The sequence below is a fragment of the Homo sapiens genome, chromosome 17, assembly GCF_000001405.40.
Source record: "Homo sapiens chromosome 17, GRCh38.p14 Primary Assembly".
Lineage (NCBI taxonomy): Eukaryota > Metazoa > Chordata > Mammalia > Primates > Hominidae > Homo > Homo sapiens.
Genome location: NC_000017.11, coordinates 2,929,481 through 2,945,021, shown reverse-complemented (window position 1 = coordinate 2,945,021; position 15,541 = coordinate 2,929,481). Strand labels below are relative to the sequence as shown.

Here is a 15,541-nt window from a genome sequence, read left to right as displayed (position 1 = left end):
GGCGCCTGTAATCCCAGCTACTGAGGCAGGAGAATGACGTGAACCCGGGAGACAGAGCTTGCAGTGAGCCGAGATAGTGCCACTGCACTCCAGCCTGGGTGGCAGAGCAAGACTCCGTCTCAAAAAATAAAAAATAAAATAGCATTAAAAAGAATAAAATACCTAGGAACAAATTTAACCGAGTGGCTGGCACACTAAGCACTACAAAACATTGCCCAATGACATTAAAGAAGACATAAATAAATGGAACGACATTCCATGTTCATGGATTGGAGATTTAATACTGTTAAGGTGGCAGTACCATTCAAAGTGATCTACCTATCTAACGCGATCTCTATCAGAATCCTAGCTGGATGTTTTGAAGAAACTGAAAAGCTCCTCCTAAATTTGATAGGGAAATTCCATCCAGAATACTCAAAACCTTCTTAAAGAGGAAGGTCAAAGGTGGAGAACTCATATTTCCCAATCAATACTTACTATAAAGCTACAGTGATCAAAACCGTGTGGTCCTGGCAATAACAGGCATATGAACCGACAGAGTAGAATTAAGAGTCCAGAGATAAACCCACACATCTATGGCCAACTGTGTTTTGACAGGATTGCCAAGACCAATCCTAGGGAAAGAATAGTCTTTTCAACAAATGGCGCTGCAAAAAAGCTGGATATCCACGTGCAAAGAATGAAGTTGGTAGTTCTCTTTTTAATGTTTTTAATTTTTTGAGCAATCTCCGTGCTGTTTCCCATAGCGGCTGCACCAATTTACATTTCTACCAACAGTGTTACAAGAGTTCCAATTTCTCCACATCCTCACCAATGCTTGTTATCTTTTGTGGTTTGGTTTTTTTTTTTTTTTTTTTTTTGGTTTTGCTGTTTTGAGACGGAGTCTCGCTCTGTCGCCAGGCTAGAGTGCAATGGCGCAATCTCGGCTCATAGCAACCTCTGACTCCTGGGTTCAAGCGATTCTCCTGCCTCAGCCTCCTGAGTAGCTGGGATTACAGGGGCGGACACCACCATACCTGGCTAATTTTTTGTATTTTAGTAGAGACTGGTTTCACCATGTTGGCCAGGATGGTCTCGATCTCCTGACCTCATGGTCCGCCCTCCTTGGCCTCCCAAAGTGCTGGGATTACAGGCGTGAGCCACCATGCCTGGCCTCTTCTGTGGTTTTGATACTAGCCATCCTAACAGGTCTGAGGTGATATATCACTGTGGTTTTATTTGCATTTCCCTGATGATTAACGACCCTCTCATATACCTGTTGACCACTTGTATGTCTTCTTTGGAGAAGTGTCTATTCAAGTCTTTAGTACACGTTTTTGTTTGGTTTTTGTTTGTTTTTTTTTGTTTGTTTGTTTTGGAGACAGAGTCTTGCTCTGTCACCCAGGCTGGAGTGCACTGGTACGATCTCAGCTCACTGCCTCATCCACCTGCCACGTTCAAGCAATTCTCCTGCCTCAGGCTCCCAAGCAGCTGAGATTACAGGCGTGTGCCACCACACCCAGCTAATTTTTAGTAGAGACAGGATTTCACCATGTTGGCCAGCCTGGTCTTGAACTCCTGACCTCAGATGATCTGCCTGCTTCAGCCTCCCAAAGTGCTGGGATTACAGGCGTGAGCACTGTACCCACCCCTATAGTGCACTTCTTAAATCAGGTGAGGCTTTTTTATTATTGAGCTGTAGGAGTTCCTTATACATTTTAAAAACTGACCCCTTATCTGATATATGGTTTGCAAATATTTCCTCCCATTCTGTAGGCTGCCTTTCCACCCTGTTGATTGTTTCCTTTGCTGTGCAGAAGCCTAATAATTCAATCTCTATAAAATATCTAGGATGGGTAAATCTATAAAGACAGAAAACAGATTCGTGATTGTCAGGGGCTTGGGGGGAGGAGAAAGTGGGGAGTAACTGCTTAAAGGGGTTTTATTTGGGGATGATCAAATATTTTGGAACTAGGTCAGGTGTGGTGGTTCACACCTGTAATCCCAGCACTTTGGGTGGCCAAGGCGGGCAGATCACTTGAGGTCAGGAGTTCAAGACCAGCCTGACCAACATGGTGAAACCCCATCTCTACTAAAAATACAAAAATTAGCTAGGCGTGGGTGGTGAGTGCCTGTCATCCCAGCTACTCAGGAGGCTAAGGCAGGAGAATCGTTTGAACTCAGGAGGCGGAGGTTGCAGTGAGCCAATATCACACCACTTCACTCCAGCCTGGGTGACAGAGCAAGACTCCGTCTCAAAAATAAAATAAAATAAAAATTGGAATTAGATAGACGTGATGGTTGTACGACATCACAAAAGTACTAAACGCCACTGAGTTGTTCACTTTAAGATCATTAATTTTATGTTATATAAATTTCACCAATTTTTTTAAAAGAGAAAAAGAGCATGAGACTGAGACAATGGTACACTGAAGAGCACACGGCCATTCCAAAGGGGGCGGCCACTATTTACTTATCTCTCACTAAGCTGTCCAGCAGAAAGGCAAGCTCAGTGTTGCTGAAGTTTTCAAAATAAGCCAGAAATCCAATTTTTTGTGTGAGTCTCCCAATTTTTGTACATGGATGACACAAAATTTTAAAAATCTCTATGTGGACCAAACGTAATCATTCTATGAGCCAAATCAGCCCCCAAGTTTCAGCCCCAAACACAAGTTTCAAGCTATGGAAGCCACTGAATGTTCCTGAGCTGGAAGATGAGATGATATTAAGCAATGTTGTAGGAAGTCCCAAGGTATCCTCTGTTGGGCACTGGTGATGTGCCAGGCAGGTATAAGGCACTGAACTGGGCACTTTCCATACGCCTCACACGTACTCGGGGAGGGAGGCCTGGAGGGTTGGAGACTTAGAGTGGTTAAGCAACTTGCCCAGAATGAATCCTGATTCAAATTCAGATCCATCAAGGTTTGCCAACTCAGCATCTCACGTGCATGTCTGACAGGCACCTCAAACTTCCCAAGTTAGAGGCCAAAACAGGAACTCTCATTCATTCTTTCCCTCAAAAGCCATCTCAGTGACACTCAGGACAAAGCCCAGAGAGTCGGCTGGATGCAGTGGCTCACGCCTGTCATCCCAGCACTTTGGGAGGCCGAGGCAGGTGGATCACCTGAGGTCAGGAGTTCAAAACCAGCCTGACCAACACGGTAAAACCCCGTCTCTACTAATAATACAAAAATTAGCCAGGCGTGGTGGCACATGTCTGTAATCCCAGCTACTCCAGAGGCTGACACAGGAGAATCACTTGAACCTGGGAGGCGGAGGTTGCTGTGAGGAGGTTGCGGTGAGCCGAGATCACACCACTGCACTCCAGCCTGGGCGACAAGAGCAAAAACTCTGTCTCAAAAAAAAAAAAAAAACCCAAGAGTCATCACTGATGTCTTGATCCCTCATCCTCCACATCCAATCCTCCTGGCAAGTCCGCCATCACAAGGCATCCCACATCTCACCACCTCTCCTTACCTGCACTGCCTCCCTCATCTCACGGTGCCTCAACTGGACAGCGCCTCGGGCTCCTGCCTCCTTCCAACCCCCTCTCAAATCAGTTCCCCACAGAACAGCCACATGGTCTTTTTTTTGTTTTTGTTGTTTTTATTTCATTTTATTTTTAATTTATGTTTTAGATGGAGTCTTGCTCTGTTGCCCAGGCTGGAGTGCAACGGCACAATCTCAGCTCACCACAACCTCCGCTTCCACCTCCTGGGTTCAAGCGATTCTCCTGCCTCAGCTTCCCGAGTAGCTGGGATTACAAGCACGTGCCACCATGCCCAGCTAATTTTTGTGTTTTTAGTAGAGACGGGGTTTCACCACGTTGGCCAGGCTGGTCTCAGACTCCTGACCTCAAGTGATCCACCCGCTTCGGCCTCCCAAAGTGCTGGGATTACAGGCGTGAGCCACCGTTCCCGGCCCACGCGGTCTTTTGAAACATCAATCAGGTGAGATCAGTTCGCAGCTTAAAACTCTCCACTATACCACTACCCACACCCTGCCAGGGTCCAGAGAGGTTGGGCCGTTTCTGGCTGGTCACAAGGTCCCCGGTCCCCCCACAGCATCCTGGAGCCCATGGCGGTGCAGCCTGAGATTGGGGAACTCCTTGGTCCAACCCCACAAACAAGTGTCCTGTCACTCCTCACACTCGTCCCTGAATTGTCACCCTTGACTCCCATAGAGAAAAAGATGACACAGCCAAGGAGGGAGAAGAAAGGCAAGAAAACAGCCAGTCCCGGGCTGGCAGCAGGCAGGGGAAAGACGAAGAGCCTCACAGTCCCCACCTGGCCAAGTCCGCGTGGGCCCCCCATGTTCACCAGGAGCGGGCACAAAGGGTCTGCCAAAGCTGGAAGGGGCGTCTGCAGAGCCTGCAGGGACAGTGTGGCTTGGCAGCAGAGGACCACGGCTCACACTCTCCTCGCTGGGCCTCACACTAACCACACTCTGAGGCTCCGTGACAGGACACAGAGTCCCCAGAACCACAGCCCAAAGAAGAGAGGGCGGGACCCGCAGCCTGGCCAGCTCCAAGCGTCCAGGCCAGGCGGAAGCCCAGCTGAGGAGTCCCTCCCCCTCTCGCCATGGCAACTCCCACCTATGCACAGCCTTTGGCTGGCAGTGGGTTCCCTCGGGCCCCGGCAGGGAGCCGAGAAGCCTTCCCAGAGGAACACAGAAGTGAGTTCTCTCCAGCCCTCTGCCAGGACCCACCTCGAATCTCCAAGCCAGGGAGGAAAGGCCCGGGTGCTGAGTCTGTCCCCTGCCCTCCACATCCCCCACCCAGAGGCCCCTCTGTCCCTGGTCTCGGTTCCTCCTTCCCCTGAGTGAAGGGTGGCTTCCATGACCCGTGGCAGGCAAACAGCCACTCGGGGCTCCCAGCCAGGTGACAACAGGAGAGGCTCTGTTCCCCACCCCCTCCAGGCAGCAGGGCCTGGACGGGCATCCCTCCACAGCCCAGGGACACTCACGAAAAGGTACTTTAAGAAATCCATCTCCCGCCAGGGCCTGGGTCCCGAGAGTCGGGGCCCTGCTGCCTTTAGCTCCACTGCAGCTGCTACCACCACGGCGGCGGCTGCTGCTGACGCTGGACAACTTCCTTCAGATCAAACAAGGAACTACAGGACTCGGGTGTCCGCCCGAAGCTGTTAGTCCACGCTGACTAGCGCTGACCTTTGACCTGTCCTCTGCCGCGGGCGTTTTTCTGGGGAACCCAGGGCTGATGGAGGTGCCACACGTCTTACGTCATAAGGGCAAGGGGGTCCCTTCCAAGGGAGAGGCCCCACGCCAGCAGGTGATGAATGGACGCCCACTGGGGCCTAGGAAGGTAAAGGGGTGAGAAGCCTCCCCCCTCCATCCCTGCCCTGAGTGAGTTCTCAACACTGCTGGCCCGCGTGGCCGGACGGAAGGCACGACTGGGACACAGGAAACCAGCCACAGTGTTGGGCCTGAAGGAGACCCCGGGTCTTGTGTGTTTGGAGACTCCAGCAGGCTCCCCTTGGTGGGGGCCTCAATTTTCCCTTCTCTGAACTGGGAAGCCCTCTCTGTGCAAGAAAAATAAAAACAAGTAAAAGAGAGACCGGTGCCTGCATCTTTCGAGGCATTCCCACGCACCTCACACCACCTAAGAGGTGTGAAGAAAGAGCTAAAAGAGTAAGTGCGCCGGGCAAGGCGGCTCCCGCCTGTCATCCCAGCACTTTGGGAGGCCGAGGCGGGTGGATCACCTGAGGTCAGGAGTTCGAGACCAGCCTGGCCAACATGGCGAAAGCCCGTCTCTACTAAAAATACAAAAATTAGCTGGGTATGGTGGCGCATGCCTGTAGTCCCAGCTACTCGGGGGAGTGAGGCAGAGGATCACTTGAACCCGGGAGGCAGACATTGCAGTGAGCCAAGACTGTGCCACTGCACTCCAGCCTGGGCGACACAGCAGGACTCTGTCTCAAAAAAGAAAAAAAAAGAATAAGTGGTGGCTTGGAGGACTGGAAAGGGGTGTGCAGAGGCATAGGGAACCGTTTTCTTTGAGGAACAGCCTGAAGCATTTTTTTTGTTTTGTTTTGTTTTTTGAGACGGAGTTTCACTCTTGTTGCCCAGGCTGGAATGCAATGGGATGATCTCGGCACACTACAACCTCTGCCTCCTGGGTTCAAGAGATTCTCCTGCCTCAGTCCCCGAGTGGCTGGGGTTACAGGCACCCGCCACCATACCCGGCTAATTTTCGTATTTTTAGTAGAGATGGGGTTTTGCGACGTTGGCCAGGCTGATCTCAAACTCCTAACCTCAGGTGATCCACCTGCCTAGGCCTCCCAAATTGCTGGGATTACAGGCATAAGCCACCGCACCCAGCCAGATATTTATTTTTTTTATCCAAGGTGTTTTGTGTGTGTGTTACTCTGTTTTAAAAAAAATTAACATGGTTTAAATAAAGATAGCAGTGCTCATGCCCTGTAATTATTTTACCAAAAAAAATTAAAGATAGCGAATGGCTGGGGGAGACACACCATGAGCTCAGGGCCCAGAGGCACTTGGTGCTGTGGGGAAGGAGAAGCCAGCCCCGGCTCAGCCCAGGGATCCCCTGGGTCTCACAGTCTTTTTCCAACACTAATGACATGTCACGCTCCATACCCATCCAGGGCCCTCGGTTCTGTTCCAGCTTTGAGAGGAAAGCAAGGTCCCCAGCTTGGAAGGAAAGGAATGAATTTTTTAAACCCTCAAAACAAGGCAGTGTGGTGTGGGAGAAACAGCTCCAGACCTAGTGTGGGGCAGACAAGCTACTAACTCGTGGCCCTGCTGCTGACAAGCTGCATGGGTTGGTCACTCAGCCTCTGAGCCTCAGTTTCTATATCTATAAAATGGGAGAAATATAAGCCACTCTGCAAAGTGGCTGTAGAATAGGACATGACGTACGTGCTGTGTCCAGAGCAAGGTGAGACACGAAATGTCCTCTGTCAATGGGGATTGTGATGATCATCGATCCTTCCTCCCAGCCCTGGCTCCGTGCTCGCTCCCTGCTCCTGCCCAGCCTGCCACCAGGCACAAAGCCCGTCTCCTCTCTCCAGCACAGCCCTATCCTGTGCTTGCTTCAGCTCCAGAACCCCACAGTCTTCCAAGGGAGAACAGAGGCCAGGAAATGTCTCCAGGGGCTGGGGGAAGACACAGCTTAATCGAGGCCAGGCAGAGAAGACCTTGGCACAGGTCCATCCCCGGGGGCTTAAAATGACGCTGGAGGTCAGGGCATAAAGGAGGAGAGGAGCATAGCTCTAGCATGTGAACTGCACCACCTCACTTCCTTTGGAAGCTCCATGTGCTAGAGGGACCCCTAGCTGCAGAGAGGCCTGGCAATGTTCCTTCCAACTCAAAATTCTGACATAAAAGACTATCTTGGAGAAATGATATTGTCAAGTTCATGAGCCTCGCTGTCCCCTACTGAGCCCTTCTCTCCTTCCCCTGGAAAAAGGGACCCAGGATAAGGCTCGTGCATCCTCAGCATCCTTCCAGCTCCCTCCTGCACGTGCTGCTGGCCTGGCTCATCTCCACTCCTACTCAGAGCCAGTGAATCATTCAGCACAGTGTCCCCCAGCACACGCTGCCATGCCCGTTCCTGCAGCCCCAGCCTCAGGAACGTGGCGTGCCCCAAGCTGGAAGGACATGCCATATCCAGAACACTTCTGCAACCCCCTTGGCCACAGCATCCCAGGGTCCAGAAAACCAAGGATCCAGGCTCCTGCCTCTTTGCAGGAAGGCATTCAGAAGGAGCAAGGAAGAAGAGAGATGGAGAACCAACTTACTGATCTCCTCCAGGCCAGGCACTGGCTTGGAGCTGGAGACCAAGGAAGATCACCCTCGGTCCCTCTCCTCCTTCCCACTCCACTTTATTTGCTTGACTCCTACTTGGCCTTTAGGTCTTAACTTGGAGGTCACCTCCTCCAGGAAGCCCTCTTGGTCTGCACCCTCCTCCCTGTCCCAAGGTGGTACTCCCGTCCTACACATGCCCTATCCAACCACTTTAACTCTCAGCTTTAAAACTTCTCGTTTAATTAGCTGTTTCCCCCATTTCATCTGTAATCCCAGCACCTGGCACACAGATGCTCAGTAAACACTTGCTGAATGAATAACTGAAGAAAGGAACTGACTTCAGTCTGGTGACTATGACAATCATAGAAGCAAATAATTACAATCCGGAAAACGAAGAGCAAGGAGCATGGGTAAAGCCCACAGCTGCCTGGGCGCACAGAGGAGTGGGCAATGGCTCTCCTGCAAGGAAGGGGGTCCCGGGAGGACTTCCAGAGAGTTATTCCCTCTGTTTTGGAGATAAAGCCACAGAGGTAAAAAGGAAGTCAGGGCTGCGTCTAATGGTACACAGTAGAAGAGCAAGACTCAATATCAGAGCCCAGGACCCATTCCTACCACCTCCCATTTGACCCTCATGATCATCCATTTTGGGGCACCGGGGGAGGGTAACTAAAGCTCAGAGAGGTTAACTGGCCTGCTGAAGGTCACACAGCCTGTTACTAGCAAAGCCAGGTGTTCTGAGTGAAAGAGGTTCGAGGCAGGGAGGAAGGAGAGGAAGAGGGAGGAAGAAGGTGAGTGCGTTTGTCTGTGTTAACCTCAGAGGGCACAAAGGAGAATCTGGCTGGCGGAGAAGGCCCACAGCCCCTGGCAGGGTCATGAGCAGAGACCAGTGTGACCACACTCTGACATCCTCTCCATGGCCAGGGGAGGCAACCAAGCAAAGAAGGAGGCATGAAGGCCAGCGAGACAAATAGTACTTAAGAGGCAAAACTGGGTGGGGGGAGGGGGGAGGGATAGCATTAGGAGACATACCTAATGCTAAATGACGAGTTAATGGGTGCAGCACACCAACATGGCACGTGTATACATATGTAACAAACCTGCACGTTGTGCACATGTACCCTAAAACTTAAAGTATAATAATAAAAAAAAAAAAAGAGGCAAAACTGGCCACCGGCCACTGGAGGTGGAGACAGGGAGAGGAGATGGCGGTCTGCGCACATCTCCCCACCGTCAAATTAGCCTCCTGAGCCTCTAAATGAGACCTCTCTTCTCTCGAAACCAGAAACCCCACTATTAAGGATGCCCAGCAGTGATCATTCATTTATAAAATACCCCGGCTGGAGCAAACCCGCCAGATCGGCCGCGTTTCCTTCCTTGCTTGTGGTTTTTCTCCAGCAGCTGCAATCCGGTGAAGAGAGCATGGGACTGAGCGTCAGACAGACCAGCCTCCGAATCCCAGCCCGGTCACCGGCCAGCTGTGAGGCCTCGCGCCTCACTTGCCTCCTTTGTGACACTGGAGTAATGATCCCCATCCTCCGGCACTTCCGAAGATCAAATGAGGCCACAAATGTGAACGTGCTTGACATTGCAACAGTGATCGAACGACAAATGTCTGCCGGCTCTACGTGTACTGGATTTATAGAATTAATTTCAGGATGGGGGCGGGGGGGTGACATTTATTGATCTCTCACTCTATCTGTCAGACCCTTGACTAAAGATGTGGGACGTTCTCTTTTGTGTGTGTGTGTGTGTGACAGAGTTTCACTCTTATTGCCCAGGCTGGAGTGCAATGGCACAATCTCAGCTCACTGCAACCTCCGCCTACCAGGTTCAAGCAATTATCCTGCCTCAGCCTCCCAAGTAGCTGCGATTACAGGCACCCGCCACCACACCCAGCTTATTTTTTGTATTTAGTAGAGATGGGGTTTCACCATGTTGGTCAGTCTGGTCTTGAGCTCCTGATCTCAGGTGATCCACCTGCTGCGGCCTCCCAGAGTGCTGGGATTACAGGTGTGAGCCACTGCGCCTGGCCTGAATATGTTCTTTTATCTGATCCTCACGCCTACCTGTGAGGCAAGCACTATCATCACATCCACTCTGTCACTGAGAAAACTGAGGCTGAGAGTTAAACATCTAGAACGACAGGCAATGCAAACCCATAGTCAGCCTCCAGGGGCCAAGTTTTGAGCCTTCACTCTAACAGGGCTTGGGTGTATTGTCTAAATCAGCTGGTTGATGCAGATGGTACAGGATGCTGAGAGGCCAAATCCCACCCGTCTTCCCTAAAGCTTTTCTGAAGCCCCTCAGCTGGAATTCCCACGGCACTCGAGTTGGTTTTGGTAGGCGTCATATTCTGTTTCACACGAATAGCTAAGACTGATCTTTCCTCTAAACTGCACACCTTGCAGGCAGAGGCCATATTTACACACACCACAGTTGTGCACGCACCAGATTTCGTCAAACTAAAAGGACATCCACTGGAAGGTACACATTATTTTGTTCTCCGCTAAGAAAGCAAAAATGCTTCCAATTACAAATTACGGTGTGCTATTGCTCATGAGATGCACCCTGATTTCAGAGTTGTTAAATGAGAGGGAAGAAAGTGTCTTCGAAGCAATGAAATACAGTAGTAGACACTCAGTAATTATTTGTACTCAGTAATTATTTCTTGGGGTAACAGAAAGAACAGTGGATTTGAAATCTCAAGACTCAGGTTTGTGTCTTACCAGCTGGCTAAAAGGAGTATTTCATTTTCTTCTCTGCGCAATGGGGAAATCATTCTTCTTTTCTGCAAGAACCAGAAGAGTTCAAGAAAGTGCTTTGCAAGGCCGGGTGCGGTGGCTCACGCCTGTAATCCCAGCACTTTGGGAGGCCAAGGTAGGCAGATCACCTGAGGTCAGGAGTTCAAGACCAGCCTGGTCAACATGGTGAAACCCCCTCTCTACCAAAAATACAAAAATTAGCCTAGCATGGTGGCCCATGCCTATAGTCCCAGCTACTCAGGAGGCTGAGTCAGGACAATCACTTGAACCCAGGAGGCAGAGGTTGCAGTGAGCCGAGATCGTGCCATTGCACTCCAGCCTGGGCAACGGAACAAGACTCTGTCTCAAAAAAAAAAGTGCTTTGTAAACAGTCAAGTACTGAACCAACCTAAAGTACAAACAGGATAAAGATGAGGCATGGATGACGGACGCCATCCGTGGCTGTGACCAAAGACGGGTGACCCTGTGGGTATTTGCAAGAGGCTCTGTAAGGGCGTGGCTGCCTTGGGGCAATCGGCCCCATTTTTCCAAGAAACAACTGGGGCTCCTGCTTCCGAGCTGCCCACGCTGGTTAAGGCGTAAGGTTCCTACGCCACAGACTCTCCAAGGCAGGCTTTGCAGCGTCAGCTGGCCGAGCTCCTGGTCCTGATCCGGTCTTCAACCTGAAACTTCCAGTCTTCCCCCAAAGTGGGGCTCAGCTTCAGGTCTAAGCCTCTTAGTGGGGGAACTGGAAAAAAGCAGCTCTGGAAATCTCATCAGGTTATTCAAGACTAACCTTGCCAGGTCCGTAACAGGGTCAACTAGAGGGTTAGGCATTCTAGGAGAGGGAACAGCCCAGGCAAAGGCTTAGAGGCAGGAAAGTGAGCAGGGGGCTGGTTTGGCCTCGGTCTACCCAGCAGCCACAGCTGTGGTCCCATCTTCTCCACCGTGTCTCTCTCTAAAGAATGGGAATAAAGAGCCCCCCAGGCTGACAGAGTGGGAGAAAAGGGAGGTGTTGGCCTCCCGGAAAATCTCTGCTTCGCTCCAAGCTTCCTTGTCCCTGGAAAATGCAAAGCCCCATGGGCTCCGCAGCTTGTACCCTCTCCTAACTGGCCCTGGAAGGCAGGTGTCTGGCTGTGTCAGAGGCACGGCTGGCCCCCTCCCTCACTCCACGGTGGTCTCTGCCCCCCAGGCAAGGTTCTTCTCTACACCAGGCACTTTACTGGCCCTGGCGGGCAGGTGTCTGGCTGTGTCAAGAGGCACAGCTGGCCCCCTCCCTCACTCCACAGTGGTCTCTGCTCCCCAACAATGTTCCTCTCTACACCAGGCGCTTTCCAACTTGCTCACCCGCCCACACGACTCCATTTCCTTCCACTCGCCCTTCTCTCTTCCCGCCCTCTCCTGCCCACTGTCTGGCTGGCTGGCTCATGGAGGAGGGAAACCGCAGCCATGCTGCCCTGTACGCGGGGACACTGGGCCTCCTCCCCTCTGCCAAGCAAGTGTTGAGAACCAGGCACTCCAGATCCCAGTGCCATTCCCCTCCTCCCGCAATCCCAGCCTCGACCTGTGCCTGGAGGAGGAAAGGGGCTGAAGAAGCTTCTGGGTTTGCCCATCCAGAGGGAACACATCACAGACCAGACATGGAACCCATACCCTGCCCGTGGTCCCTGCTCTTTTTTTTTTTTTTTTTTTCTTTTTTTGAGATGGAGTCTTGCTCTGCTGCCAGGCTGGAGTGCAGTGGTGCAATCTTGGCTCACTGCAACCTCTGCCTCCCCCGGGTTCAAGTGATTCTCGTGCCTCAGCCTCCTGAGTAGCTGGGATTACAGGCGCCCGCCACCACTCCTGGCTAATTTTTGTATTTTTAGTAGAGACGGGGTTTCACCATGTTGGTCAGGCTGGTCTCGAGCTCCTCTTTTTTTTTTTTTTTTTTTTGAGATGGAGTCTCACTCTGTCACCCAGGCTGGAGTGCAGTGGCGCGATATAATAAATAATAAATAAAAAGGATGGAACCTCACAGAATTTCCAAAGCAAGAGGCATCATATGCCAAGACACACACCACATACCGAACACCCTTCCTCCCTCTCCTCTCCCTGAGCTCCGGGTCCCACACTTGTTATGGGATATGCAGTTGGCCAGTCTCCCTCCTCCTCCACTGGGGCTGCAGTTGTCCCCCAGAGAGACCATGAGGTGCCCCGTCACCACTAACAGCCTTAACTGCTCCAGAACTTGGCCGCTCCCACACGCTCCTGCCTAGAGACCCCCAGCCAGGCACCCTCTGCTTCAGCGCGAAGGAGGAAAACACAGCGTCCCATCCCCCATGACCACATCAGCACTGCTGGGAAGCAGCAAAAGCAGATTTACAGATGAGCTAAACCAGAATTTCAATTATCTGGGCTCTTCCTGTTAACATCCTCCTCCACCTGGGACAACGGATTACTGGGACTTTGCTGGAGCCGTCCCTGGCCTAGTGCAGAGCAGGTGTTGATCAAATGCGCCGGACTGAGAACTGAATATATCATTATATATCTTTGTGCTGCTGGGTAAAGGGCGGTGTCAGCGAAGGAGTCATGAGAAGCTGGAAATTTTGGGGGGCTTGTGCTTCTGATGTGCCTGAGAGATGCCATCTCCATAACCCCAACTCAGCCCCAGCATCCCCTAACCTGCCCTTCCCCTCACCAGAGGGAAGAGGAAGGCTGAGCAAGGCGCCAGCCTCCTCACTTGCTGGGAGTTTCATTTCAGGCTGACCTGCAAGAAGAGGGGACATCTGCAAATTGCATGTTCTGTTCCTTTCCCATCTTCCAGTTAATGATTACTTAAATAAGTGCTTCGGTCCCGAGTGATTCTAACAGTCAGTCAGTCCCCAAGCTCCCACAGCCTAATTATACATGAACAACCGCATGGGGGCTTTAATGCTCAACAGCTCTCTTCCCTATAAGCTGTATGTTAAATAACACGATTGCCCCACCCCCTTTTGCCAGCTGGGGCTGAAGAAGGGGGTGCTGGGGCAAACGAGGCCCTAACGAGGTTAGGGTAGGGACAATGGGCTGTCCTTCCCGGCCCCGCTGTCCTGGCTGGGGGAATCACTCAGCTGCAGATACATTCACACCAACGTGGCGTCCCACAATATCCACCCCCAAACAGACATCCAAAACACTTGATACAACAAAGAACTAACCACAACATTCACAGTCACGTTCACCCAACACACACACACACACACACACACACACACACAAGAAACACTCACTCATGGCAAACATACACGCCTAGCCCTCAGCCAGGTTTATCAGCCCAAAAGGTGGGGACCATGACCCAGCTGCACACACCCTCCTGCCATAAACAGTTATCATCTGTTGTGGTTTCTCTTCTTCTTTTTTTTTTTTTTTTTTTTTTTGAGATGGAGTCTCGCTCTGTCACCCAGGCCAGAGTGCAAGGGCACGATCTCGGCTCACTGCAGCCCCTGCCTCCCAGGTTCAAGCGATTCTCCTGCCTCAGCCTCCCAAGCAGCTGAGATTACAGGGCATGCCACGCCTGGCTAGTTTTTTTGTATGTTTAGTAGGGATGAAGTTTCACCATGTTGGCCAGGCTGGTCTCAAACTCCTGACCTCAAGTGATCTGCCCGCCTCGGCCTCCCAAAGTGCTGGGATTACAGGCGTGAGCCACCACGCCCAGCTCTTTTGTTTTGTTTTATATTGTATTTCTTTGTTTCGATTTTGTTTTTCTTTGCATTTTGTTTTGTTTCGTGCAGTTTCTAATTTGCCTGTCCTGTGGTCCCCCCACTCAAGCACAAAGGTAACACAAGAGGCACCCAGAGTAAAGGAGGACACGTTAGAGACCTCAGCCTTTGTCTTACAATCCGACAGCTTTTCTACCAAAAGAGAGCGATGCCTCTGTGCGTGTGTTTGAAGCGGCATTCCCACCTGGCTCCAAGAGCTGGTGCTGCCTTGCAGACCTCGGCTGAAGCTGCAGGCCAGGCAAGACTGAAACTCCGGATGAGCCTGCGAAGTAGGAAATGCAGGGCAAGTAACAGAAGCCTCCATTCCGAGTGAGGAAGCTGCCACGCCCCCACTCAGGCCTGGTCTAATGAGGTCTCCAGGGCACCTGAGCACTGAGGCTGGCAGTGGACGCAGGGCAGGGTCCCAGTTCCTGGCCGCCTGACCCTCTGGGTCTACCCAGCTGGCACAGTGAGCAGCTGGTGGGCTTGTCACCCCTCCCCAGACCCCCAGCCCCAGCCACAGGCTCCCACGTGGTACTGATGGTATTGGCCACAAGGGGGCCTGGTGAGCCACTGTAGGAAGGTCCAGACCCACAGCTGGGACAATCCCGCTCCCAGTCATCTCCCAGCCAGCGATGGATGAGGCTGAGGCAGTTGACTGCAAGGCAGATCCATCTCGAAGAGAGCCCTGGCCTCTTACAGTCCCAGACACCCTTCCAGGAGCCTTTCAGAGCCACACAGGGCAGGTGACACACCATGGCCCCAAGGCACTAAACTAAGAGGTCCTTTGGCCACACTGCTACTCAGAGGGAAGGGTGAGCAGGTGGCTCCGGGAGTGACGAGTCTGCTCATCGTGGCCCTGCCCCCCGCCGAGGCCTGAAGGACAGGCCATGTCTACTGGAGAAGTGGGTGCACTGGTGATCTCGGGGTGCACTGGTGATCTGGGCTGAACCTACAAGCCTCAGGCTGGGCACGCACCCTCAGGACCGTCATCTCCTGGAACTATCAGGCAGCCTGGATCAGGGCTGCCTCTGGAAAACAGTGTACCCAGGAAAAGAGCCCACTGCCTTCGTGGAGCGGGCAGGGCAGTCCCGGGGTCTTCGCTACCAGGGGCATAACCTGGCCTTGACACATGAAAGGCAGTGAAGGGAAGGAAGCCTAAGCAACGGAAGAGGGCAAGCATGAGGCACATGCAGGGAAAACAGTCAACCTCACCTGCTCCCCGTGTTGATGCCAAACGATCCCTACGAGGAATGACTTTACCAGGAACCAGCTCACCAACTGCCCCAGGAGATGCCCCAGGCAGCCATGTGTGCACCT

General features: G+C 52.0%; 1 protein-coding gene across 14 annotated transcripts in view, besides 5 other annotated features; it reads right to left on the bottom strand.

The window, feature by feature from the left end:
* The window catches only part of RAP1GAP2 (RAP1 GTPase activating protein 2), a 282,097-nt gene that overhangs the window by 92,720 nt on the left and 173,836 nt on the right, over window positions 1–15,541 (bottom strand). The window contains exon 1 of one of the 14 annotated variants that reach the window (XM_011523743.2): window positions 4,944–5,071. The exons of 12 other annotated variants lie outside the window; for them this stretch is intronic. In XM_011523743.2, coding sequence (XP_011522045.1) covers window positions 4,944–4,967 — 24 coding nt within the window. In that variant the 5' untranslated portion in view covers window positions 4,968–5,071. Of the gene's footprint in view, window positions 1–4,943; window positions 5,072–15,541 lie in introns of those variants that run through there. One more of the 14 variants, NM_001437988.1, reaches the window with a different exon arrangement.
* Window positions 4,276–4,792: an enhancer, noted in NCBI's record as "H3K4me1 hESC enhancer chr17:2843524-2844040 (GRCh37/hg19 assembly coordinates)". NCBI's record gives its function as "activates a minimal SCP1, AML or CMV promoter by ChIP-STARR-seq in primed H9 embryonic stem cells {active_cell/tissue: H9 hESC(primed)}" and the evidence as "EXISTENCE:reporter gene assay evidence [ECO:0000049][PMID:30033119]".
* Window positions 5,310–5,827: an enhancer, noted in NCBI's record as "H3K4me1 hESC enhancer chr17:2842489-2843006 (GRCh37/hg19 assembly coordinates)". NCBI's record gives its function as "activates a minimal SCP1, AML or CMV promoter by ChIP-STARR-seq in primed H9 embryonic stem cells {active_cell/tissue: H9 hESC(primed)}" and the evidence as "EXISTENCE:reporter gene assay evidence [ECO:0000049][PMID:30033119]".
* Window positions 12,019–12,764: an enhancer, noted in NCBI's record as "H3K4me1 hESC enhancer chr17:2835552-2836297 (GRCh37/hg19 assembly coordinates)". NCBI's record gives its function as "activates a minimal SCP1, AML or CMV promoter by ChIP-STARR-seq in naive H9 embryonic stem cells {active_cell/tissue: H9 hESC(naive)}" and the evidence as "EXISTENCE:reporter gene assay evidence [ECO:0000049][PMID:30033119]".
* Window positions 12,765–13,509: an enhancer, noted in NCBI's record as "H3K4me1 hESC enhancer chr17:2834807-2835551 (GRCh37/hg19 assembly coordinates)". NCBI's record gives its function as "activates a minimal SCP1, AML or CMV promoter by ChIP-STARR-seq in naive H9 embryonic stem cells {active_cell/tissue: H9 hESC(naive)}" and the evidence as "EXISTENCE:reporter gene assay evidence [ECO:0000049][PMID:30033119]".
* Window positions 13,510–14,256: an enhancer, noted in NCBI's record as "H3K4me1 hESC enhancer chr17:2834060-2834806 (GRCh37/hg19 assembly coordinates)". NCBI's record gives its function as "activates a minimal SCP1, AML or CMV promoter by ChIP-STARR-seq in primed H9 embryonic stem cells {active_cell/tissue: H9 hESC(primed)}" and the evidence as "EXISTENCE:reporter gene assay evidence [ECO:0000049][PMID:30033119]".